Below are 12,609 nucleotides of genomic sequence, written 5' to 3' on the forward strand. Positions count from 1 at the left end.
CTGAGTTCACAGGTTTGAGACCAGTCTGGGCAACATGGCAAATCCTTGTTTCTACAAAAAATACAAAAACTTGTTGGGTGCGATGGGGCATGCCTGTAGTCCAAGCTATTTGGGAGGCTGAGGTGGGAGGATGGCTTGAGCCTGGGGTTGCAGTGAGTGAGGTTGCAGTCTAAGTGACAGAGCCAGACGTTGTCTCAAAAAAAAAAAAAAAAAAAAAGAAAAGAAAGAAAACTGTAATAAAAGCTATCCTTCTTTCCTTGTTATAAACTGGCAAATAACTTGGCTGAACTGTGTCCATGGCCAAGGGCTTTGTGGAAGGCTGAACTTGAGATTGATGAATTAGGGTAGCTGGCAGAAGAAATATCCAAGCAGCAAAACATTCAGGCTTCTGCCTGGCTGCTTTTAATTGCTTATGCTAAGCTGCAAGAGGGAAAATATGACTTGAAGATGGAATTTATGATCAAAAGAGAAGCAAAGTAGAAAGATTTGGAAAGCTCAGCCAGACCATGTAAAGGGTGAAAAAGCATGTTCAGGAGAGGAAACCAAGGGTATAGTCCAGCTACATTTGCCAAAGAGATTAGCATGGATAGAAGGGAGCCAGGTGCTATTTTTTAAGACAGTGGGAGACAGACCCTGAAGGCATTTCACAGATCTTTGAGTCTGCCCCTCCCATCACAGGCCATCACAGGCCCACAGGCCTATAAGGGCACAGTGATTTCAAGGGAGGTACCCAATGCACACTCCACAGGCTTGCTGCCCTGGGCCACCTTGGAACTCTGCTCCCAAATTCTGGTGCAGTGTTTCTTGGCCACTCTAACTGGAGTTCAAATGGCCTGAGGTGTTAAGTAAGCCTTGGCAGTGTCCATGTGGTGCTAATTCTGCAGGCTTGCAGAAAGCAAGAGCTGTGGAGGCTTGTCAGCCTTCAGCCAGATTTCAAGGAATGTTGCTAAAGCCTGGGAGCCCAGGCAGAGACCTGTTGCCGGGGCAGAGCCACTGCAGAAAGCCCCCACTAGAGCAATGCCAGAGTGAAAACGTGATGTTGGAGCTGCCACAGAGTCCTCACCTGGGCAATGCCTAGTAGAGCTGTGGAAGTGAGGCCACTACAGAAAGTCCCCACTGGAGCAATTACCTAGTGGAGCCATGGGAGCCAGACAGCCATCAGGACCCCAGAACTGTTGAACCACAGGCAGCATGCAATCAGTGTCTGGGAAAATTACAGGTACTGGACTCTAACCCTTATGAGCAGCCATGTGGACTGCTCCAAGTAAAGCCATAGGGATGGGACTGCCTTAGGCCCTGGGGGCCTAATCCCCACCTCAGTCTCTCCAGGAAGTAGCACATGATAACAAGAGATTATTTTCCAGCTTTGAGGTCTGCCCTGCTGGGGTTTGGACTTTCTTGGGGCCCATTACTCCTTTATCCTGGCCTATTTTTTCCTTTTGCCATGGGAATGTTTACTCTATGCCTGTCTCACCATTGTATCCTGGCAGTAAATAACTTGTTTTGATTTCAAAGACTCATAGATGAGGCTCTGGAATTTAGACTTTTGAGTTGGTGCTGGAAGTAGTTTAGACTTTGGGACTATGAGGATGGAATGAATGTATTTGTATAGGAGGAGGACGTGAGTTTTGGGGGGGCTGGTAAAAGAATGCTATGGTTTGAGTATTTGTCCCCTCCAAAAGTCATGTTAAAATTTAATCCTCAACGTGGCAGCATTGAGAGGTGGGGACTTTAAGAGATGATTGGGTCATGAAGGCTCTGCCCTCATGTATGGATAAATCCACTAGTAGATTAATGGAATAATGAATTCATGGGTTATCATGGGAGTAGGACTTTATAAGAAGAGACAGTGAGACTTGAGCAGACATCATCATGTGATGCCCTTTGCTCCCTCAGGACTCTGCAGAGAGTCCCTACTAACGAGAAAGCCCTCACCAGATGTGGCCCTTCAACCTTGGACTTAGACTCCATAACTGTAAGAAATAAATTTCTTTTCTTTGTAAATTACCCAATTTAAGATATCTTGTTATAAGCAACAGAAAACGGACTTAGACACGTACTCTTTCACATTCTTATTTAAGTGTCTGCTTTCTCTTACTGGACTGTAAGTTCTCTGATGGCAAGGACTCTATCCCTCTGTGTCCCCAGTGTGAAACAAACACTTGTGAAGTAGGTGCAAAAATGCTGTAGAAGCCCAATTTTTAGCAGGAGAAACCTGGATATCTGGATATAATCTGAGAAATAATAGGGCTTCTTAATTAGGGGACTATGTGATGATCACAGTGTATGTAAAGTTTTGTTTTTCTGGAGGTGCATGTTATGGGTGAGATGGGAACTGTTAAGTGGGGAGGCTAGTTTTATGGTGAGAGCCTGGATTTGGCAATGGAAATTGACAAGGGATCAATCTGGGATACTCTGTTGAAGAAACTACTACATAGGATCAAATGAGAGGAAAGAGCCAGATGTCCCTCTGTTATGGAGGCCAATGGCTGGCTTGTGTCCTGGCTTTGTCACCCTTTGGTTGTGCAACTTTGGGAAATTTACCTAGATTTCTGTGCTTCAGTTTCCTGAGCTCCAAAATGGGAGTAAAAGCTACTGTGGAAGTTGATGAAATGAAGCGGTCTTTAAAGCCAACAGGGTCTAACACTTAATAGGTGCTATATAAGTTAATCTAAGCCTATTTTGAAAGAGTTTGTATTATCTTTTGGAAATTATATGGGGATAATGCAAACATTTGTGTGTGTGTGTGTGTAGAGAGAGTGGGTGGGGCTGGAGGACCAGATATGCTAGCTTGTAATATTCTAGGAAACTAATTATCTGAGATAATTTATTTAAATTTGGGGCGATTTTGGTGCCATAAATGCCAGGATAAATGTATATATGAGCTGCATAAATACTATGGAGAAGGAGGTGGCTAAGCCTAGTGTGGTGGGGTATGAGATGAAGGGGAAGGAGTTGGAGCAGAAATAAAAGTTTAAAAACAATACTATGGAGATCTTAAAAGAATTTTTTTGTTTAAAAAAAAAACAGTAAACAGTACATCACAACTGAGGATCTCCAGGACCACTCAAAAAGTGTTCTGTGAATCTTTCAAATCAATAGCACTACTTACTCCAGATAAAGGCGTGAAAGGACCTCAAGGTGACAGAGTTCTGTTAACAGCGAGAGAGCAGCATGGTCAAAGGCAGTGGATAGATAATCTGGAATTTTCCAGGATGGCAAGAGGATAAATGAATTTTAATTTTAATAAATGGAAATTGGGACAGAGAGAGTAGGTGGTTAGAAAAGACTTTCTTTAAGAAAAATTTACTTTAAATATTTACAAAATATTTAAAACATATTTTGTTTTAAATTGAAGGTTAGGGGACTTTTCTATATGTTTCTTTTTAGGTTTCCGTTAAGAATTGTCTGAATTCTGATATTTGGATTGTTTGATTATTCCACATGGAATTGTGTGTTAGGGTAAGACTTTTTAACTTAAGCACATAAAGAACCTTTGATTGCCACTCCGAGAGGTTCAAGATGAAGAGTAAAGTTTCAGAAAATATTGATTTGGTTTCTACTTCTTTGAATCTTTATGTCTACTTCTACAATCCTCATTATTAATTAGCTTCAGAAGTGGTTTTGCCTAAGAACCTGAAAATGGTCTCTCTGTTTATACATTTTCTAATTAGAAATATATATATGGACATACATACTATGTATAATAATATACACAGTATGTGTATCTATATTCATATATAAGTATATATATAATAGACTATACTTATATAGTCTATATGTATATAGATTTATATATACATCAACCAATTATGTACAGATAGAACATCTTGACTACTAAGATGTCAACTCTCCTTTTTCCTTCCTTTTTTCCTCCTTCCCTTCCACTGTATGAAAAATATTCTTTCATATCAGTAAAGGTAAAGGTATATTATTTCTGATGTCACAGTTGCTTTAGATAATTCTAAACAGCTGATACAGATACCTTCTTTACCATGACATAGAATGACGAATGGGAATTGGTAATTGACAAGATTACAAATACTCTAATTTTTTTAAATAAAAAAATGTAATAGCAATAGCTATTCTGAATTGTAGCAGGTAAGAGATCCTGCTGATTACAATGGAGGGTTAGTGTCACCATTCTGACTTTCTGGAGAGGTCCTGTCTCCTCAGGTACGTCCTGTCTGCCTCAGTCATCATGGGACAGAGAACCTCCTTGGGTTCTAGGGATCCTCCAGATCAAGGACTCTTAATCTGGTACATCAGAAAGACCTTGAACTCCATAAAGTTAATGCAAATATTACAGCTACTTTATTGTGGTAAAATACTTATAACATGACATCTACCCTCTTAACAAAATTTTAACTATAAGCATAATGTCGTACAGCAGATATTTAGAACTTTTTCATCTTGTACAACTGAAACTTTACACCCATTGAACAGCAACTCCCTACTTCCACCTCCCTCCACCTTTTGCAACCATCATTCTACTTTTTGTTTCTGTGAGTCCGACTACTTTAAAAACCTCATATAAATGAAATCATGCAGTCTTGTCCTTCTGTGACTGGCTGATTTCAGGTAGCATGATGTCCACTTTTGTGGAAAACAGTATGGAGGTTCTTCAAAAAATTAAAAAACAGAACTACCATCCAGCATTCCCATTTCTGGGTGTTTATCCAAAAGAACTGAAATCAGGATTTGGAAGAGATATTTGAACTCCCATGTTCATTGCAGCATTACTTGCAACAGTCAAAAGGTGGAAAGCACCTTAATGTCTATTGATTGATGACTGAATAAAGAAAATTTGATACATGCATACAATGGAATATTACTTATCCATACAAAGAAGGAAATCCTGTCACATACTATCACATGAATTATAGCCATGCCTTAAGGGAAAATTCTGTGGGAAACTTAGCTCTCTATCACATTCTGGAAGGAATCTGCCATACAAACAAAGTTAAACATCACTGCATTAAGGCATGCCTAACAATGAACAAATTCAAAGAAGTTAAACTTGACTTACTTTGTCATTTCATGTTTGGGCCTGCTCCAGATAATTAATGTGCTCATGACACTCTCCCTGCCCAACTTTTAAAAGGTCTTTTTCTGTAGGTGATTACTCCAGTCTGGTCTTGCTAGGTAGAGCTCCAGTGGGGACACTAACATCCTATCTCTTTTTTTTTGAGACCAAGTCTCGCTCTGTCACCCAGGTTGGAGTGCAGTGGCACAATCTTGGCTCACTGAAACCTCCGCCTCCTGGGTTCAAGCGATTCTTCTGCCTCAGTCTTCCGAGTAGCTGGGACTACAGGCGCCCGCCACCACGCCCGGATAATTTTTGTATTTTTTTTAGTAGAGACAGGGTTTCACCATATGGGCCATGCTGGTCTTGAACCCCTGACCTCGCGATCTGCCTGCCTTGGCCTCTCAAAGGGCTGGGCTTATAAGCATGAGCCACTGCACCCGGCTACTTGCATCCTATCTTATGGAAACATACTTATTCTATTTTCTCAGCACACTATTCTTTGCTAGGGAAATGCAAATAAACTGAGCTGACATGTCATGGTTTGTCTTTCTCAGATGTGAGTATTTCTTCAGGGAATTTCAATGACCTAAACGGATAAAAGCAGACAGTAGAGATTTGGGGCTCAAGAGCAAGTTAGAGTGGTAGATAAGGCTGTAACAGTGACATTCTTCTCAACTCTTCTAAAGAAGTCATCGAACATGTGCCTTCTCTATATGCAAGACTGATCTACCTACTTAAAAAAGAAGAAAATAATCCATTGGACAATGCCATATAAGATTATTTTTTTGCATCTTTAAGAAAGTCTTCTTAAAATTAATGGTTTTTTTTTGGTAGGAAATGTAGCCATTAAAATAATTGCCTTTCTTAGTACCAAAGTCTCAATAGTTAAAGATTAAGGGTTCTGTTGGTTTTTCTTCTCTGTAAGATCTTGTGGCAGATTTCAGTCACATATGACTGAAGAATAAATAATAAATCTTGGATGAAAGTTTAATTTTTTTCAAAACAGGACACTTCTCATGGTCCTAATTATTTTTGAAGCCATTCTCTATTAACATTATGACAAGGATTTGGTAGTGGGAAAAGAAGTTCCAAACTTGTGTGACACATAGCTCCCATCTGGCTTTTAGTAAGTTTTTTTTTTTTTTTTTAAAGGTGTCTTGGTCCATTGTGCTGCTATAATAGAATACATGAGACTTGACAATTTAAAATGAACAGATATTTATCGGCTCAGAGTTCTGGAGGCTGGGAAGTACAATATCAAGATGCTGGCTGTTTGCGAGGGTCTTCTTGCTACATCATTTCATGGCAGAAGGTGAGAGGATGAGAGAGAGCAAGAGGGGGCTGAACTTGCCCTTTTATAATGGCACCAATTCCACCCATGACGGTGGAACTCTCCTGGCCTAAACACCTTTGAATGGTCCCACATCATTAAAGCTGTTATAATAGCAATTAAATTTCAACATGAGTTTTGGAGGAGCAAACATTGAAACTATAGTGTAAAGGAGACCTTACCCTTTTATATAATCCTTAGTAAAACTTGTGTAATTCATGTGATGGAGACTGCTAATATCTGGTTATATTGGGAAGCTTGGATATTTCCTATACATTTTAAGTATTGGATAAACTTAAGAATATTCTGTATAGGATACTTTCTCCTTGGAATCTAAATCATTTTTCTGATTTAGAAACTAAGGAGAAGCCTGTAGTCATTGGCTTAAAAATTGATTACAAATGAATTTGTAGAAATAGTACTTCCCATCCCAACTTCACTTCTATTTTACATCAGTTTTCTTTTTTTTACATAACAGATGTGACATTTAAATATTTCTCTAATGTTATGGCATAATGAACTTTGTCAAAGAGCCATATGGTTTATGCAAACACAAAGATAATCTTGGAACATTGACATATGTAAGCTTAATTTAAAAAGTCTGTGAAAATAGTGAAAAGCAGATGGAGAGTTGCCATGGAAATTACTAACACTTAGAGGAAGAAAAATATTACTTTAGGGTCATTGTGATTTCTAAAGGAATGGTCAGACTTGCAAAATTGTTTTCCTACCCAATTGTCAGTAATAAAAACAGATATTGGCAGGTAAATATATTTTTTATTTATCTATGATTTTATGATTTCACTGCATTCTGAATATATTACAGGTATGCACATTTTTATTGGTAAAGACTTTTAGTAGTGGAAGAAAATCTAACTATTTACCACTACTTTAAATAAGAAATGTTCTTTTCAATTTTTCTGAATGAAAGTACAAGTTGTGACTTATTAGTTTTTGTTCTCCTTATGTAGGTTTTTATCTTGATATAAGATAAAATTAGTATCAGAATGACATAGTCTTTAAAGGAAGATGACTAAAATTTGCTCTTATAGATTAATTGTACCAATTGTAAAAAATAGAGAGAAGTCTAGATAGCTCAATAAAAGTAATGAAAAAACCTTTTAGGCCAGATTCTTTATTAGAAATTATAATTGGTAGACACTGCTCTTTACCATAGCTTAGTCATAGAGAAAGTTTAAAAATCTCAATAGGAAGTCATTTGCACTGCTCATTTTGTACCAGCAATTATTTATCACCTGATTGGTTTATATATTCATTTCCATGAACTTTCGAAAAGTCAGTAACTAAACTCTAATTCTTTCTCTTTTCTTCTGAGGCAATTTCAGTTGCTGTGGTTCTCATGGAATAGACTAATCAAAAGTGGGAAGGAATTAAAGTTGGGGCCAGGCGGTTTTGGAACATCGACATAACATTTGGTAAAATGTGAAGCTGAATTAACGCTGTTTTTGATGTTGAAAATGAAATATCAAGAATAAAGGGATAAATATCTATGATTCCAACCTGTAGGAAATCATAAAAACTTGTTTCTTTGCAAAACACTAAAATTATACAATAAGATTCAATGGGAATTTAAAATGAGGATGCTGGGATCAACTAATGCAGATGGATTAGCATTTAAGTTGTTTTTTTCTTTGTTCTTTCTTTCCTTTCCTTTTTTTTTTTTTAAAGATTTGGATGGCAAATCGTCTTTCTGCAATTGTTTTATGGCTGCCATTGCAATTAAGAAATGGAAAATAAATTTCTGAAATCCAACAAAGTCTGATCTTATCAGCATCAGAACCATGTATGGAAAAATCCTCATAAGTGGAGCGGTTGAACCTTGGAAATATATCAGCCTTCGAAAATTGCAGCTGGAGACATCTGTCATTTGTGAGAGTGAAGGTTTAGTTGGCTTCATACCTGAGCTAGGGGTTCTTGAGATCCCGCATTTGTTTTAGGCGAAGAGAAATCAGTGTTTCTCTCTTGTGAAATGCTTTGGATGTTTGAGGAAAAATACACGTTTATTGAAGTATAACAAATATACAGAAAAGTGTACAGACCACAGGTCATAGTTTTATCAATTTCCACAAAGGAAGTTACTAATACCCTGAAAAATAAATACACTATGATTAGAAGCCCAAAGTCCATTCTGGTATAACCATCCAGTCTTTACAGCCCCAAATGTAACCACCACCTTGACTTTTTTTTTTTTTTAAGATGGAGTTTTGCTCTGTTGCCCAGGCTGGCGTGCAATGGTGTGATCTCGGCTCACTGCAACCTCCACCTCCTGGGTTCAAGCAATTCTTCTGCCTCAGACTCCTGAGTAGCTGGGATTACAGGTGTGTGCCACCATGCCCAGCTAATTTTGTATTTTTAGTAGAGATGGGTTTCACCATGTTGGTCAGGCTGGTCTCAAACTCCTGACCTCAGATGATCCGCCCACCTCGGCCTCCCAAAGTGCTGGGATTACAAGCGTGAGCCACTGTGCTGGGCCCATCTTGACTTCTAAACTGTGGAATAGTTTTGCCTGATTCTGGAATTTATATAAATGTAACCAAAGAGGATATACTTTTTGGGTCTGTCTCTGTTAGCTGAACATTATGTTTGTAAGATTTATTCCTGGTGTTGCATGTAGCAAATCGGTGTCATCCTCACTGCTCTATAGTACTAACTATTCTGTTGTATGAAAAGTCCACAATTTTTCATTAATATTAACAATGTTCCTATAAACATTCTTATATATGTTTTTTAGGGAAGATAGAGACACATTTGTGTGTGTGCGTGTGTGTGTGTCTGTGTGTATATATACCAAGGAGTGGAACTGCTGGAGCATATGGTAATCATTTCTAGTGGAAACTGCTGAATAGTTTTTCCCAAGAAGTTTTATGTGAATTCCACCTGCTTTTCATCCTTGTCAACTCTTGGTACTGTCATTTTTATTTTTACCCTTAATGGCAGATGGTCGTGGTGTCTCATTCTTGTTTCAGCTGAAGAAGCTGAGTGCCTTTAGATATGTTTACTGGCCCTTTGGATATCCTCTTTTGCAAAGTGTCTGTTCAAGTTTCTTGGCCAGTTTTTCTATTGGATTGTCTGTATTTTTCTTATTGATTTTAGGAGTTCTCTTGTATTCTGAATCGGAGCCTTTTGTCAGTAAGATGTATGGAAACATCTTCCACTCTGGGGCTTAACTTTTTACTTCTTAGTGATGTCTTTGATGAACAGACGTTATTAATTTTAACATAATATAATTGATCAATTTTTGTTTATTTTATGGTTAGTCCCTTTTAAATTCTGTTTAATAAATCTGTTTAATAAATTTTATATTTTTTGTTTTTTATAAATTTTATTAAAATATTCTTTTATGATTTATTCCAGAAGCCCTATTTTTTTAAACAAATTTAATTGATATATAATAATTATACAGTCAGGTGTGGTGGCTCATGCCTGTAATACCAGCACCTTGGGAGGCTGAGGCGGGCAGATTACTTGGGCCTAGGAGTTCAACATGGTGAAACCCCATCTCTACAAAAAATACAAAAATTAGCCGAGTATGGTAGCATGTGTCTGTAGTCCTAGCTACTTGGGAGGCTGAGGTGGGAGGATCACTGGAGCCTGGGAGGTCGAGGCTGCAGTGAACCGAGATCTCAGCACTGCACCACAGCCTGGGCAACAGAGCAAGACCTTGTCGCAACAAAAATAGTTATACATATTTTTGGGGTACCTGTGATATTTTGATACATGTATACAATGTGTAACAATCAGGGTAACTGGGATATCCATCACCTCAAACATTTATCTTTTCTTTGTGTCGGGAATATTATAATTATCTTCTAGCTATTTTGATATGTACAATAAATTATTCTTAATTGTAATTTCCCTACTGTACTATTGAATGTTAGAACTTATTCCTACTATTTAACTGCACTTTTGTACCTATTAACTAACTTCTTTTTATGCCCCCTTCTCCCTTCCCTTCCCAGCCCCTGGTAACCAGCATTCTATCCTCTACTGCCATGGGATCCACTTTTTTAGCTCCCACAGATGAATGAGAACATGTGATATTTGACTTTCTGTGCGCCAAGAAGCTCAGTTTTTTAGCTTTCACATATAGATAGATCTACAGTATATCTGGAACTGGTATTTGCATATGAGGTGAGGCAGAAGCTCAAGATTCACATTTTCCCCTGTGGTTACCCAACTGATTCATATCCAGTTGACCCAGCAACACTGACTAAAAAGAATATCCTTTTCCTAACTAATCGTGTGTTACTTTAATCATACATCAAGTGGACTCTTTTCTTTTCCATTGACTAATATCTATCCTTTCACTAATTCTCTTAATTACTGCAGCAATGTAATAAGTCTTGATACCTGAAAGTGAAAGACTAACTGTTCTTTGTATTACTATACAAATATTTGAACCAGCTTGTTAAATTTATTAAACAAAATTTAGCTGGGATTTGGACTGGGATTGCACTGAATTTATAGATCAATTTGGGAGAAAATGATAATTTTACAATATTGAGTCTTCTAATTTATGAATATAATATCTCTCTCCCAATAATTTTAGTTATTTTTTATTTTATTTATTTTATTTTTGGGGACAGGGTCTTGCACTGTCACCCAGGTTGGAGTACAGTGGCACAATCATCTCTCACTGCAATCTTAACCTCCTGGGCTCAATCAATTCTCCTACCTCAGCCTTCCAAGTAGCTAGGACTACAAACGTGTGCCAGTAGGCATGGCTAATTTTTGTTTGTTTGTTTGTTTGTTTTGGAGAGATGGGGTTTCGCTATGTTGCCCAGGCTGTTCTCAAACTCCTGGTCTCTAGCAATCTGTTCACCTTGGCCTCCCAAAGTGCTGGGATTATAGGCATGAGCCACCATGCCCAGCCAACATTTTGTATTTTTTTGGAGTAGAGATGTTACACTTCACTCATTAGATTTATTTCTAAGTACTTGATGATTTATTCCAGAATAAATTATTTATTTATTCATTTTTGTGATAAAGTGACTTGTATTTAGTAAAATTCTCATGAATGCGCTATCAAGTTCCATATAGCAGTACGGTTACCCAGCCAATTCTGGAATGCAGAAAAACTTGGAGTATGTCAGTTGTGTCTTTTCCCAATCTTCTGTTTTTACAACAGAAGCAGAAGAGGAGGGATTGTAGGGTAATCTTCTTTATTTTTATATTTATTTTTCCATAGGTTATTGGGGTACAGGTTGTATTCGGTTACATGAATAAGTTCTTTAGTGGAGCTTTGTGAGATTTTGGTGCACCCATCACCCGAGCAGTGTACACCGTATCCTATTTGTAGTCTTTTATCCCTCGCCCTGCTCCCACCGTTCCCTTCAAGTCCCCAAAGTCCATTGTATCATTCTATGCCTTTGCGTCCTCATAGCTTAGCTCCCACATATCAGTGAGAACATACGGTGTTTGATTTTCCATTCCTGAATTACTTCACTTAGAATAATAGTCTCCAGTCTCAACCAGGTCACTGCAAATGCTGTGAATTCTTTCCTTTTTATGGCTGAGTAGTATTCCATCATTCTTCTACATGTGGCTAGCCATTTGTTGAAAAGGGTGTCCTTTCCCCACTTTATGTTTTTGTTTGTTTTGTCGAAGATCAGTTGGCTGTAAGTATTTGGGTTTATTTTTGGGTTCTCTATTCTGTTCCATTGGTCTATGTGCCTATTTTAATATTAGTACCACACTGTTTTGGTGACTATAGCCTTATAGCATAGTGTGAAATCAGGTAGTGTGATGCCTTCAGATTTGTTCTTTTTGCTTAGTCTTGCTTTGGCTATGCAGGCTCTTTTTTGGTTTCATATGACTTTTAGAATTGTTGTTTCTAATTCTGTGAAGTATAATGGTGGTATTTTGATGGGGATTGTGTTGAATTTGTGGATTGCTTTTGGCAGTATGGTCATTTTCACAATATTGATTCTACCCATTCATGAGCATGGGATGTGTTTCCATTTGTTTGTGTCATCTATGATTTCTTTCAGCAGTGTTTTGTAGTTTTCCTCATAGTGGTCTTTTGCCTCCTTGGTTAGGTATATTCCTAAGTATTTTATTTTATTTTTTGCAGCTATTGTAAAAGGAGTTGAGTTCTTGATTTGACTCTCCACTTGGTCGCTGTTGGTGTATAGAAGAGCTATTGATTTGTGTACATTAATCTTGCATCTGGAAACTTTGCTGAATTCTTTGATTTGTTCTAGGAACTTTCCAGAGGAGTCCTTAGGGC

The 12,609-nt window shown here is 37.9% G+C and overlaps 1 long non-coding RNA gene across 3 annotated transcripts in view, besides 1 other annotated feature; it reads left to right on the forward strand.

The window, feature by feature from the left end:
• The window catches only part of LOC101928387 (uncharacterized), a 120,046-nt gene extending 111,914 nt beyond the window's left edge, over positions 1-8,132 (forward strand). For 2 of the 3 annotated variants that reach the window (XR_001749036.2, XR_001749035.2), the window contains one exon: positions 6,182-7,128. This is a non-coding gene — a long non-coding RNA (uncharacterized LOC101928387). Of the gene's footprint in view, positions 1-6,181; positions 7,796-8,048 lie in introns of those variants that run through there. The other variant, XR_007063236.1, reaches the window with a different exon arrangement.
• Positions 964-1,463: an enhancer, noted in NCBI's record as "H3K4me1 hESC enhancer chr12:19818855-19819354 (GRCh37/hg19 assembly coordinates)". NCBI's record gives its function as "activates a minimal SCP1, AML or CMV promoter by ChIP-STARR-seq in primed H9 embryonic stem cells {active_cell/tissue: H9 hESC(primed)}" and the evidence as "EXISTENCE:reporter gene assay evidence [ECO:0000049][PMID:30033119]".
• Positions 8,133-12,609: the final 4,477 nt, after the last annotated feature.

The sequence above is a fragment of the Homo sapiens genome, chromosome 12, assembly GCF_000001405.40.
Source record: "Homo sapiens chromosome 12, GRCh38.p14 Primary Assembly".
In the NCBI taxonomy this organism is placed as follows: Eukaryota; Metazoa; Chordata; class Mammalia; order Primates; family Hominidae; genus Homo; species Homo sapiens.